Source organism: Homo sapiens, chromosome 11 (genome assembly GCF_000001405.40).
Source record: "Homo sapiens chromosome 11, GRCh38.p14 Primary Assembly".
Taxonomy (NCBI): domain Eukaryota; kingdom Metazoa; phylum Chordata; class Mammalia; order Primates; family Hominidae; genus Homo; species Homo sapiens.
The window spans coordinates 123987126-124000877 of record NC_000011.10 but is presented as its reverse complement, the minus strand read 5'-3'; the positions used below and the strand labels follow the sequence as shown (position 1 = coordinate 124000877).

The 13752-nt window shown below is 38.8% G+C and overlaps 1 protein-coding gene across 1 annotated transcript; it reads left to right on the top strand.

The window, feature by feature from the left end:
- Positions 1-5716: 5716 nt before the first annotated feature.
- On the top strand, positions 5717-6715 carry OR10G6 (olfactory receptor family 10 subfamily G member 6). Its single transcript, NM_001355219.1, has one exon. The coding sequence runs from the start codon at positions 5717-5719 to the stop codon at positions 6713-6715; it is 999 nt and encodes a 332-aa protein (NP_001342148.1).
- The last annotated feature ends 7037 nt before the right edge of the window (positions 6716-13752 follow it).

Genomic DNA, 13752 nt, shown 5'->3' with positions numbered 1-13752 from the left:
TGTTCATTCAATCATTTTCCTTCCAAATCTGAAGGTTTTTTTTACCCCAATCTCATAAGTCTCAGATGTCCTTCCCCTCTCTACCTAGTTCCCTTCTTTCCCTTTTCCTTTCCCCTTTTCCTTCCCCCTTTCTTTCCTTCCTTCCCTCCCTCCCTTCCTTCCTTTGTCCTTTCCTCCCTCCCTCTCTCCCTCCCTCCCTCCCTTCCTTCCTTCCCCCAGTTATTCTACCTAAAATATGCTTACTGATAGCTTATTATCATACGCTGCGCACCATGGCACATTATGTACTAAAACCATGCCTCACTCACAGATTTTATGCTGTAGTCCTAAGGCTTTTAGCACTAGACCTGGCTGCAAAGCTGACCTTTTGGAAAAAGATACCCTCCCCTTGTTTCACCCCTCCAACTACTCTACCCTTCACCTCCACGTGCCTCCCCACATTGCCCCAAAAGAGGAACTAACAAACATTTTTGTCAGTTGCAGGGTATTTGATTGATCCATTCATGGGAATTGTCAAGTTTATTGTTTTAAGCAAATGGATTAATTAAATATTTGATCCCAGTTGAGGGTGGTATCTTTACCTGTTTCTCCTTCTGCTTGGCCTGAGAGGGCAAGGGAACTGGATCTGCCCCCATTTGGATAAAACTGAGCCATTTATTTTTAATTTCCTTTTCTCCCATTTTTTCTCTTCTGCTTCAAAAGTAGATGATGATAGCTCCTTTTTGCAAGAAGTCTCCCCACCCTTTCCATGTCCTTATCCACATAGAAAATCAAATGGAAAACAAAAAGAGGTCTAGGGTAAAGAACAACCACTATGGCTTCCTACTGTAGATTAAAGGCCTTTCCTAACTTCCCAAGGTCAAGCATCCACATTGGAATTTGGAACCAAAGCTTCAGTTTGTAATCATGTATTCCTTTGTCTTGTATTTATCTATGTAAATATACACAGTATTCCCATTAGCGATGTCACAGAACAGGAGAACTCTCAGTGAGAAGGGACGATTAGGTGTTTGGAGTCTTAAGTCTCTTCCATCTTCCTTTCTAAATGTAGACTTCCCTATTAGCAGAACCCTAAATCTAATTTAAACTCAACATCATATTCGTGCAGTAGGAACATGTAGTAATACAAACTAAAATAGTTAATGCTGACCTTATATGATTTCTTAAGTGGGAAATGGCTTGTCCAAAAAACAGAGCAAGTGCAATGTTGTGTTTCATAATACGCTACTTAAACATCGCAAACCAGCAATGACTCAAAGTAAGCAATTAAAACGTATTCAGCACCAGACAAAAAGTATTTTAACAACTATTTACTGAGCTATAGTTTGCCTAGCACTAGTTCAGAACTATAAGCTCCTCTATTCTCAGAGTTGGGTAAATTGTACAATTCATTTATACAGACTCATATGAGATTTTATCCATTAACTAAGCTGTATGAGCTTTTATCTTTGGAAAAGTCCTTATTCGCTTTAGAACTCGGTTTTTTCATGTATAAAATGGAGATGCACTCTGGGTCATTTATCTAAAGCTCCAACCTAAGTGTGTTTGACTTTTGAGGATTGCTACATTTTTCATATTCCTTCTAGCTGAGTCTCCTGTTTGCATACTAAGTGATCTAAACAGTTCTGCCCAAAATAGTATTGCCTGTCCTAATGCAAAGTTCTAGTAATTTACTCCTTCTGAGTTAAATTCATAGGGTATGTTTAAAAGCAATTAACATATGGCATTTATTTAGTGCCTGTGGCTTTTAAATTATTTCAAATTGTATCCCCATGCTTTTATAAGTAAGTGAGTAAATCATCATTTTCTCTATAGTGAGAAAACTAAAACCCAGAGAAATGGAAGGGGCCTCCTGATTCCTGATCAAGTGCATGCTTTTAGCAGGATCCTATGCTACAGGGCCACCACTAGCAACTAAGCGAACTTCCTCGAGTGGTACTGGCTTTGCCGTTAACAAAGCCCACTGCAATTTATTTCCCTGTAAGTTAATTGCCCCTGAAGGGCAAAGCAGAAGTGATGTCAGCCCCCTGTCTCCCACCCTACAGGGACTAGAGGAAGAAAAAAGCTGCCTGCCAGAAAGTGAGACTGTAGGGGTCCAGGGCCTAGGAATGCCACTGCCAACAGCTTCGAATGGGCTACAAATGGGAAGGGGGAGCCCAGGGAAGCATACAGAAAGAGGGCAATGACATAAGCAAGAAGGGGCATGTCAAAGGCAAAGACAAGGAAACCTATTGAGTTCAAAAAGGAGCCTCCATGAAGAACAGTAAAGAGCATGGAGAAGCTGAGGGAAGCAGCAGATGATGGCCTCACAGTAGATTCCCAGCCAGGTAGCAGTCTCCGTTTGTTTTCCATTTGATTAAATGCATGTTAGAGATGCTGGGAACATGGAAGGCACATTAGATCCTCCTAATGGCATTATGCTTTACAAATACCTGGAGAGGGGTGAGTCTTTATATTCTGCTTACCAAAGGCCAGTCTCCCTCTTGGAGTTTCCTGAGACACATGTGTTTCAGGGTCTACCTCAAGCTTAGTTCAGTTCAAACAGGGTTTGAAATGGCCAAATGAAGCTAGTATATGGCTACTAATGTCCTTTTATTCCCAAGACTTCTTGTGAAAATTGCTTCTTTTCCCCTTACAGAGAAGAACATATCACATTGCTGATACTATAATGTGATATTAACTAAAATGTATACACCAAGTAACTGGAGTAGTTTTAGTTATTAATGGGTAAAGCAGGGTATTTTGCTCTCTCCAGGGATAAATAATATTATTTCTCTGTAGAGAAAATAAATTATAAAAGTGAACGAAAACTGAGATGTCAAAGTAGCTAGATGGCAAGGAAAAAAGTTATAGTACAGAAGAGAGTTGGGACTAGGAGAAATATTGATTTTTCTTTGTGTAAGAACAAAATTTAAAACAGGAATTGATATAGATGCAAAAGAGATTGATGTTTCTTTTTTGGTTAGAAATCTATACCTACCACACTCCCTCTTTTTTTTAAAATGAGAAACTGAGACTAGAAATTTTAAGAGATTTATCCAAAATAATATAGCTCATAAGTAGTGATGGTACTGAAATTCTTATGATTTTGAAAGTCAGAATACAAGATCTAACTGATATTCTTCTAGATTCAGCATCTAAATTAATAGACTGATCCAGGCAGAGGGAAATGCCTTCGCTCAATACTATTTTAGAATCTTTCTGTGAAAGGTATGCTACAAATGGGATGAAAAGAAAGATGAGACAAAGCCCCTGTAGGAGCTCACAGCCTAACGAAGAAATTAGACACAGGCACAGGGTAAATTTCAGCATGCTCATAGTAAGCCTATCATAGAAACATGACTGGAGTACTGTGGAGGCCGTGAAAAATGAGTGGTCATTTGGAGGAAAGAGAGCAAAGGCTTTACTGAGTAGATGACACCTGAATGGGATTTTGAAAGGTCAGTGGAAACTTTTCAGACATCAGAGGAGCAAAGCCATTCTAGATTAAAGGGGCTACTGTATAAGGAAACAGAAAATGTTTGGTTAAAGCACAGTTATGGGATGGAGTGCTGAGAGGAGGCTGGAGAAGTAGGTCAACACAACCACACCAGTCAATTTGCACTTTCCCCTTGGGCAATGTGGTACCATTAAAGGTTGGTAATCAAAGAATTGCCTAAGAAATCACTAAGAATTGCCCCAGAAGTTGTTTCAAAATAGATTTTATAGCTACCTTGGGAAAGATGATTTAGCTTCTATGCAGTTTAAACTCTTATTTAGGGGGACAAACGGTTTCGGTTTACCAGGGACTCTTTTAGGTTTAGCACAGAAAGTCCCAACCCTGGAAATTGCTCAGTCCTCAGCAAACTTAATTTTACTGAGAAGTGTAGTCTGTGTGGTGCTAAAGATTGAGAGGGTTTGATGAGGGATGCGAGGCAATCCATAGTGTAGAGGGGAGAGAAGTAGTCAGAGGGCAGGCAGCTGCAGTTGCAGCTGCCTCACCCACCACGAGCCCAGCTGGAGCCCTATTTCCTTCCACATCCTCTGAAGCCTTCTGAGAGATTCAGTGTTGTCCCTGAACCTTCTTGAAGGTGACACGCCATTTGGATATTTGCCTCCCATTTGTGAACAGACTATTGGAGTAAATACTGATAGAAGGGGCCGGGCGCAGTGGCTCGTGCCTATAATCCCAGCACTTTGGGAGGCCGAGGTGGGGCGATCACGAGGTCAATAGATCGAGACCATCCTGGCCAACATGGTTAAATCCCGTCTCTCCTAAAAGCACAAAAAATAGCTGGGCGTGGTGGCGCGGGCCTGTAATCCCAGCTACTTGGGAGGCTGACAGGAGAATCGCTTGAACCCGGGAGGTGGAGGTTGCAGTGAGCCGAGATTGTGCCACTGCACTCCAGCCTGGCAATAGAGCAAAACTCTGTCTCAAAAAAAAAAAAAAAAAAGTTGATGGAAGTAAAGTGACACTAGGAAGAACACCTCGCATTGCTCTCAGTTACTTTCCTGATTTCTCCCTGACATTTGGCGGGTCCCATTCACCAGTAATCCTGGGAGGAGAAGCCCTTTGTGAAGCTGCTCCAAATTTGCAGGGGTGTCATCGAGCACTGAACAACTCGCTAGAAACCATAGGTTCACTTCAGACCAGAGCCACACATGCAAAGATGGAATTTGTCTAACAATACGAGATTACAACATATATTTGATGAAAAATCATAGCTAATGTTGATTGAGTGCTACTGTAAATTGTGTGAATTAATTGAATCTTTACAACAATCCTATGAAGTAGACACTATTATTGTCCCCACTTATAATTGTAAAAACATATTAAAAATGTGATTACCAATGAGTATAAGTGAACTAGATCTTTGAACCCAGTAAGACTTCACAGGCTGTACTCATAAGATACAATATATAGCGCCCTACTGTATGGGTGTACAGATAGATGGATGAGTGGATAGACGGATGGATGGACAGATGGACGGATGGACAAATGGACTCTACTTTCCAGAAGTAGAGAGAAAAAAAGGCAACCCAGTGCCTTGGGGCTAAGATTTTGTATTGCTTCACTATTCTGAGAGATTTTAAATGACATGTAAATTTTTATATAGATTTTTTGAAAATAGATATTTTTAGCTAAAACTTCAGAGGTTCTGAATGTATTAGGTTCAGTGTGCAGGTCAGATAGTATATTTTTTTTAAAACCTGAAAATTTTTTCACTGGGCACACTTAGATAGGAAATATAATCACAACTCTGATGTTCCTAGAAAATCAATAAGATGCAAGCTAACTCTCTGGTATACATATCAGAGATCAAACTGAAGGAAAACAATGGAACAGATCTTCCTTTATCAATTAATTTAGCTTTTATATGATTATATTTCTTCTTCCTGATTGGAAAGGAAGATTACTTCTTCTGTGTATGGTCTTTCCTTCATTCTCCTAAATTATGTACACATCATCATTTACCTTTAACCTTGGAGAGAACAACTGCTCCCTGACACCAAGCAGAATCTCAGAATCAGGAGTTGAGGGGGAGTAAGGTGAGAGAATGATAAAGACCAGTAGCAAGAATGAGAGAGAGAAGAGAGAGAGAACGGATAGTTAGATAGATAGATAGATAGATAGATAGATAGATAGATAGATAGATAGATAGATAGAATAGATAGATAAGTATCCTTTTCTGTCCTTATTTGGGAGTGACACAGAATTGATGTGCTGAGCCTAGAAATGTTAGAGGGTGTTGAGCATCTCCTTCTGCTACTTCTTTTGACAGATGTGAACAGCAAGGAACTGCAAAGTGGAAACCAGACTTCTGTGTCTCACTTCATTTTGGTGGGCCTGCACCACCCACCACAGCTGGGAGCGCCACTCTTCTTAGCTTTCCTTGTCATCTATCTCCTCACTGTTTCTGGAAATGGGCTCATCATCCTCACTGTCTTAGTGGACATCCGGCTCCATCGTCCCATGTGCTTGTTCCTGTGTCACCTCTCCTTCTTGGACATGACCATTTCTTGTGCTATTGTCCCCAAGATGCTGGCTGGCTTTCTCTTGGGTAGTAGGATTATCTCCTTTGGGGGCTGTGTAATCCAACTATTTTCTTTCCATTTCCTGGGCTGTACTGAGTGCTTCCTTTACACACTCATGGCTTATGACCGTTTCCTTGCCATTTGTAAGCCCTTACACTATGCTACCATCATGACCCACAGAGTCTGTAACTCCCTGGCTTTAGGCACCTGGCTGGGAGGGACTATCCATTCACTTTTCCAAACAAGTTTTGTATTCCGGCTGCCCTTCTGTGGCCCCAATCGGGTCGACTACATCTTCTGTGACATTCCTGCCATGCTGCGTCTAGCCTGCGCCGATACGGCCATCAACGAGCTGGTCACCTTTGCAGACATTGGCTTCCTGGCCCTCACCTGCTTCATGCTCATCCTCACTTCCTATGGCTATATTGTAGCTGCCATCCTGCGAATTCCGTCAGCAGATGGGCGCCGCAATGCCTTCTCCACTTGTGCTGCCCACCTCACTGTTGTCATTGTTTACTATGTGCCCTGCACCTTCATTTACCTGCGGCCTTGTTCACAGGAGCCCCTGGATGGGGTGGTAGCTGTCTTTTACACTGTCATCACTCCCTTGCTTAACTCCATCATCTACACACTGTGCAACAAAGAAATGAAGGCAGCATTACAGAGGCTAGGGGGCCACAAGGAAGTGCAGCCTCACTGACTTCATCCATCACAGACATGCAGGAAACCCTATAATGCAGGGCCCTGGATAGGACACCAAATAAGTGGAAATTTTAAAGCAGAAATAGAAAGAAAGATTCATGCATAGAATAGAGGACTCCTGGCTGGGAACCCGGAAAGTTCCACATTGTAACCTGTTCTCAAACGTGATTTTCCATATGTCTTTCTTCAGTGCCAATGAAAAGCAGTTAAGGCAACTCAGCAAGGGTGGCACCTTGTTAAAAAGACTCAAGATAAGAAAATGTCTGCATGAAACCTCTGCTTCTCTGAGGCATTCATCTACATGTCTATTATTGCTTCTAGTTCCTGCATTGATACCTGTTATCTCTTTCCAGGCTATAAATAACTTTCCTGCAAACCACCTGATTTGACCTCGACAATAATTATGTGAGGTAGGTATTATTATTTTCCCATGTAACTGCGGGGAAACTGAAGTTCAAGTAAAAGGCTTATCCAAACTTCCTTCTCTCTGCCTTTTACCTTGATGAAAATGGTAGGTCATGACCTTGGACTTAAACTTGAGGGGGCAATTTCATCTCAACGTGAGGGAGCCGGTTACGCATGCCCTGCACTAGGACCTGCGGAGGCCGAGTCGTCTGAGCTTGCACAGAGCTCCACTTTTGTAAGATTGACATGGGTATATCAAGGATAAGCTTTCCGGCTGCGCCACATAAACTGGGTCTCCCTGATGCTTCCATATCTGAGATAGTAGACAAATGCATATGCTACCACACTTCTGCATTTGTTACATAGCTTTTGAGTATGAGTGTGGGGCAGGTGGGATGAAGCATGTACCTGGCTGCAACAAGATGAGTCAATAGTGACCTGAAGCATGTCCTAGTCACCTATGTCTTATAACAGTCTTGTCAGTGTCTAAATGTGGGTCCTTCACCCTCAGGACCCCCTGGGTGCGACAGATGCGTTTGCTGATATTTCAAAAGTATGTGGGTAAATACAGTCCAAGAGGATCACTACATTCCCCCAAACTCAATTCCAATTGTAAAAACACTGGAATAATGGAGAATTGATTTCTGTGCACCAGAAGCTTTCTGAGAAAAATGTGTGTTGTCAGTGACTTTGCTTGTTTGAACAGCAGAGATGCAAGGTTAAACATCAAAATATGTATGAATAGGCAATCCAATTCAACGTGACACAATTTTTTTCAGTGTATCACCAAAACCATGACATTGTTGTCTATTCCAAATGGGTTTATGATCTTATAAAAAGAAAATGCATTTATATATGAGGCAGAGAGATAAAACATATGACCATAAAATAAATAAGAAATGACTGGTATAATTCCGTGTGCAATGAATATTATTCAGGAGAAGCACAGAGAGAGGGAGAGTATTTGGCCTGGAATTTAAAAAGCTAGCTTATTGAAAAATTTAAGATAATCTGTAGTTTGAAGGTCTTGTAAGATCTAGTCAGTGAGATGACAGTGATTTTTTCCTGTGATGAAAACAACATAAATCCTTGATATAATCCTAGGAGAATGCTCCAGAGAAGACTAATTAACTATCTTAGGAAGAGCAGCCCAAGACAGTTACAAACTCTATTTGGCAGACCTACAGAACTGCAGTGCAATGGGCACATAAACACTCCCTGGCACAAAGGGGGGCAGAAATTATGTAATCAGTCCTCTGATCCCAGAGAAGTGCCTACTTAGAAGTCAAATTCAGGCAAACACGAGGACTTCTTTTTCTCATCAGGGCCAATGACACATCACACAGACAGAAAAAGGTCACATAAAAAAAAATTAATTGGTTGTTTTGCTCTTAATAGAGAAATAAAAAATACATCTTACTATTTTATGTTAAGAAAACTACCACATAAAAACATCAAACAGCAAATTTTACTTTATACTGTATCCACACAGTCAATGAGCAGCAGGGCTAATATGTGAACTTATTTCTGTAAGCCCAGAATTTGAACTCTCCACTAGAAAGAGCCACATAGGATAGTATTTTTATGCAACTTCACTTCTTAAGAGGGTATTTTGATTTCAAGTTTGTTTTGAGGTTATCTAATATTGAGAATAAAAAATGAATAAATAAGACAGAAAAGGAAAAGTAGTGTTAGACTGTATGAATATTTCTCCATTCTTGAAAATAGAAGCTAAAAACGTACTACTGTTTAGAGTTTGAATATTAAGTATTCTTTGGTGTCTTTTTATTCTTTGGCTGTATATTTTAAAATTCAAATACATATGTTGACATATGTGCAGATATCATTATTATATATATGTTAGTACCAAACTTTAAAAATACCTGTGGCTTTAATATACTTTTAAACATCTAATAAGGTTATTTTCTCATTCATTTCTAATCAGGTTCAGATTATTTGGGGCCATTTCCTCATATCTGTTTTTTTAGATTAATTTCCAGATATTTTATCAAGTAGTAAACAAACAGAAACATTTCTGCCATCTTAACTGAACTCATATTGAAAATAGAAATCATTTTAATATATTTACCATTCACATTATATTCAGTCTTTTTTGTCTTACAAAGAGATATACCTACGCTTGTTCACGTCTTCCTGAATACACCTCACTAGAGTGTCTTATTTTTTATAAATACATTCCTTCCTGTCATGACCTGATAGCCATTCTAAGTTTGTATTTATCTGCTCAGATCATTTATGTGGTAATACGTAAAGTTTAATACTCAGCAAGAACCCTAATTATCCTTATTTCTAAATTCCTAGAAGGCATTTCAATTTGTCGGTATCTACTTAGTCTTTCCAGATTTACTTTCTTTGTCTGTAAAATGAAGTGAAGCAAGATGATCTCTAAGTTATTCTAGATTTTGATATTCAAAAGTCCTATAATTGTTCCAGTCCCACTGAGTTCATAAATGTTCATGATCTGTGCTTTTTGAAAGGAGTATACAGACGGTCTCCAACTTAGGATGGCTCAACTTAATGATTGTGCAAAAGCATTCTATTTTTCATATTCAGTATAGTATTCAATGAATTTAATGAGATATTCAAAATTTTATTATTAAATAGGCTTTCTTTCGGATGATTTGGCCCAACTGTAGGCTAATGGAAGTGTTCTGAGCACATTTAGGATGGGCTAAACTGCGCTATGATGTTTGGTAAGTTAGGTATATTCAATGCATTTTCATCTTATGATATTTTTGACTTAGGATGGGTTTATCAGGACATTAATTCCATTCTAAGTTGAGGAGCATGGAGAAAAACACTCCTAGGAAAGAGATAAGAAAAGAGGTGTCATAGCAAAGTCTCAATTTTTTTGTCAGGCTTGACAGTCACTAGCCAGATTTTTCTCACCTACCATTTTTATGCTATACGCAGGTGGTGAAATACAGTAAGCATGATTTGTTCAAAAAATTATTTCTATTTGAATTTATTTGGTATTTTGACTATTTCATTGAGCTTAAAGGATTAGGCTAAAAATAATTGGGGGAAGTTTAGTCATGTTGATTTAAATTGTATGAACAGTATATGTATAACAGTATATGGTATAAATTGTATATGAACAGTCCAATATTGGAATTGACTTTTCTGTGAAGTAGTGATATTCTCATATTGAAAGGGTCATGTAAAATTCAGCGGTTTGAGTAACTGACTTTTAAAAAATTAAGATTTTATGTTATTTCACATACTATCCAGGGTTAATAGCAACTATTAATAGGACACTCTTTATGCATTATTATTTTCATTTTAAAGGTGTGGAATTGATGTATTTAGCAAGAGGAGAAGAGGAAGTGAGCAATCTTCCAAATATCCTTCAACCAGTAGTTGACAGTGACAGGACAATAAACCCAAGTCCATCTAACTTCATAGTTCATGCCATTTTTTGGCTCTCTTTCAAAGATATTTATGGAAAACATTCTTCTTCTTAGGGAACTATATCACATACACATAGAAAAGTGTAGAAGTATGCTAAGAGAGTTTCTGAACAGGCTACATATCAAAACACACTGTTAAATGCCACTGAGTTTACAGGGGAACCAAAGCATTCTTAGGGTAGAAAGACAACATGGAGAGGATAGGCTTGATCTTAACCTCGAATAGTAGCTTAGATTCTTGCTACTCAAAGTGCAATTCATGGAACCACATAATGGAAATCTCTGGGCACTTATTAGAAAGACAGAAATCTCAGTCCCTACTCCAGACCTGTTGAATTAGGATTTGCAGCTTAACAAGAGTCCCAGGTGACTCATGTGCACACTAAAGTCCGAGAAGCTTTAGAGATGTTATCAGATAAAAATGAAGTTGATTTCTTCAAGGGGGGATTGGGTAGGGTGAGGAGAACAAGAGGAGATTAACAGTAAATTTAGGAGAGGTTGAGAAAATCTACTTGCATAAAGAAATGCTTATTGAACAGAGAAATGTACTTGAGTAGAGAAAAGTTGTAGGGGATAAGAATAAATGGATACCAATCACATTTTAGAAGTTTTGAGTTATAAATTGAGAATTTTGTGTTGCACAGTAAATCAGTATGTGAGATTGAGATTATTAGCATTTGTGGGAGGGGACCAGTGAGATAAACTCTTTTGAAATTTGATCAGTCAATGTTATGCAGGATGAAGTGATTCATTAAAGGGGAGAGGTGAGAGTTGAGAAGACCTTGCAGGAGATTATAATTATAATCCCTGAGACATAATGAAATGAGAGACTCATTATGAAATGAGTCTTTTATGACCATTACCCTCAGTCTCTCATTTCGTTATGAGAATGGCTTATGATGGGTTTCATCTCATTATGAAATGAGAAACTAAGGATAATGGTTATAAAAAATTAAATGCAGATACAAATAAGACTTACATTTCAAGAAAAAGGCTATTCATGTTTTTTAAAAAACAGAAAAATTCAAATGGAATTCTGATATCTAGCTTTACCCATTGAAGAGAATAGAAAGGGTGTGTGTAGTAAGACAAGTCCTTTTTTTTTATTTTTAAAAAATGTTTTATTAAAACTTTAAGCAACTTAATAATGTCAAGATTTTTAAAAAGTATACTCTAATCCCATTTCCTGATCATATCAATTTCTTACATTTCCCCAACTTTGGCTGAAATTTTAAGAATTGTGTTTTTTGGGGGGGGGTTGCATTCTTTTTATTATTATTATACTTTAAGTTTTAGGGTACATGTGCACATTGTGCAGGTTAGTTACATATATATACATGTGCCATGCTGGTGTGCTTCACCCATTAACTCGTCATCTAGCATTAGGTATATCTCCTAATGCTATCCCTCCCCCCTCCCCCCACCCCACAACAGTCCCGAGTGTGATGTTCCCCTTCCTGTGTCCATGTGCTCTCATTGTTCAATTCCCACCTGTGAGTGAGAATATGTGGTGTTTGGTTTTTTGTTCTTGCGATAATTTACTGAGAATGATGATTTCCAATTTCATCCATGTCCCTACAAAGGACATGAACTCATCATTTTGTATGGCTGCATAGTATTCCATGGTGTATATGTGCCACATTTTCTTAATCCAGTCTATCATTGTTGGACATTTGGGTTGGTTCCAAGTCTTTGCTATTGTGAATAATGCCGCAATAAACATACGTGTGCGTGTGTCTTTATAGCAGCATGATTTATAGTCCTTTGGGTATATACCCAGTAATGGGATGGCTGGGTCAAATGGTATTTCTAGTTCTAGATCCCTGAGGAATTGCCACACTGACTTCCACAATGGTTGAACTAGTTTACAGTCCCACCAACAGTGTAAAAGTGTTCCTATTTCTCCACATCCTCTCCAGCACCTGTGGTTTCCTGGCTTTTTAATGATTGCCATTCTAACTGGTGTGAGATGGTATTTCACTGTGGTTTTGATTTGCATTTCTCCGATGGCCAGTGATGGTGAGGATTTTTTCATGTGTTTTTTGGCTGCATAAATGTCTTCTTTTGAGAAGTGTCTGTTCATGTCCTTCGCCCACTTTTTGATGGGGTTGTTTTTTTCTTGTAAATTTGTTTGAGTTCATTGTAGATTCTGGATATTAGCCCTTTGTCAGATGAGTAGGTTGCGAAAATTTTCTCCCATTTTGTAGGGTGCCTGTTCACTCTGATGGTAGTTTCTTTTGCTGTGCAGAAGCTCTTTAGTTTAATTAGATCCCATTTGTCAATTTTGGCTTTTGTTGCCTAAAAATTTAGAGATGAAATCCAGAGAATACTACAAACCACAGAAATTGCCTTGATTATTAACTGAACACACAATTCCAAGCTTTGAAAGAGTTTCAGATTCCAAGACTCACTCTGGGTGTGTGGCAGGTGGGATTCCTGTACTCTTATCGATGTAATGAAATTCAGACTCCAGGCAAAAGTTCACAGGTATTGGATGAAATTTCCCATGCCTCCTGGAAATAAGGCACTGCTCATCTCCATCTGTAGCTCTACTAAAGAATCCAACAAAAGCAGGAATAGAAAAAGATTGGAAGAAATCCACTTTTATAAGACTTTTTTTATTATTATTATACTTTAAGTTTTAGGGTACATGTGCACATTGTGCAGGTTAGTTACATATGTATACATGTGCCATGCTGGTGCACTGCACCCACTAACTCGTCATCTAGCATTAGGTATATCTCCCAATGCTATCCCTCCCCCCTCCCCACAACAGTCCCCAGAGTGTGATATTCCCCTTCCTGTGTCCATGTGATCTCATTGTTCAATTCCCACCTATGAGTGAGAATATGCGGTGTCTGGTTTTTTGCTCTTGCGATAGTTTACTGAGAATGATGATTTCCAATTTCACCCATGTCCCTACAAAGGACATGAACTCATCATTTTTTATGGCTGCATAGTATTCCATGGTGTATATGTGCCACATTTTCTTAAGGAAGTGGATTTTCCAGGCCCTTTTGGAGACTATGTATTTATTTGAATAGGAGATTAGTACTAACATCATCTGGCTATAATTTGTGTGCTTAATGCAATTAACAATTCTTCTACTGAGAGATTCAAAGAAAAAGCAGACAATAGTAACAATATAGGATCTTCAGAGTAATATTATATGTCTTTATATGTACCATGGTGACATTGC

Coding starts and splice junctions, on each gene's coding strand:
- OR10G6 (NM_001355219.1), top strand. CDS start 5,717: ATGTTAGAGGGTGTTGAGCATCTCCTTCTGCTACTTCTTTTGACAGAT.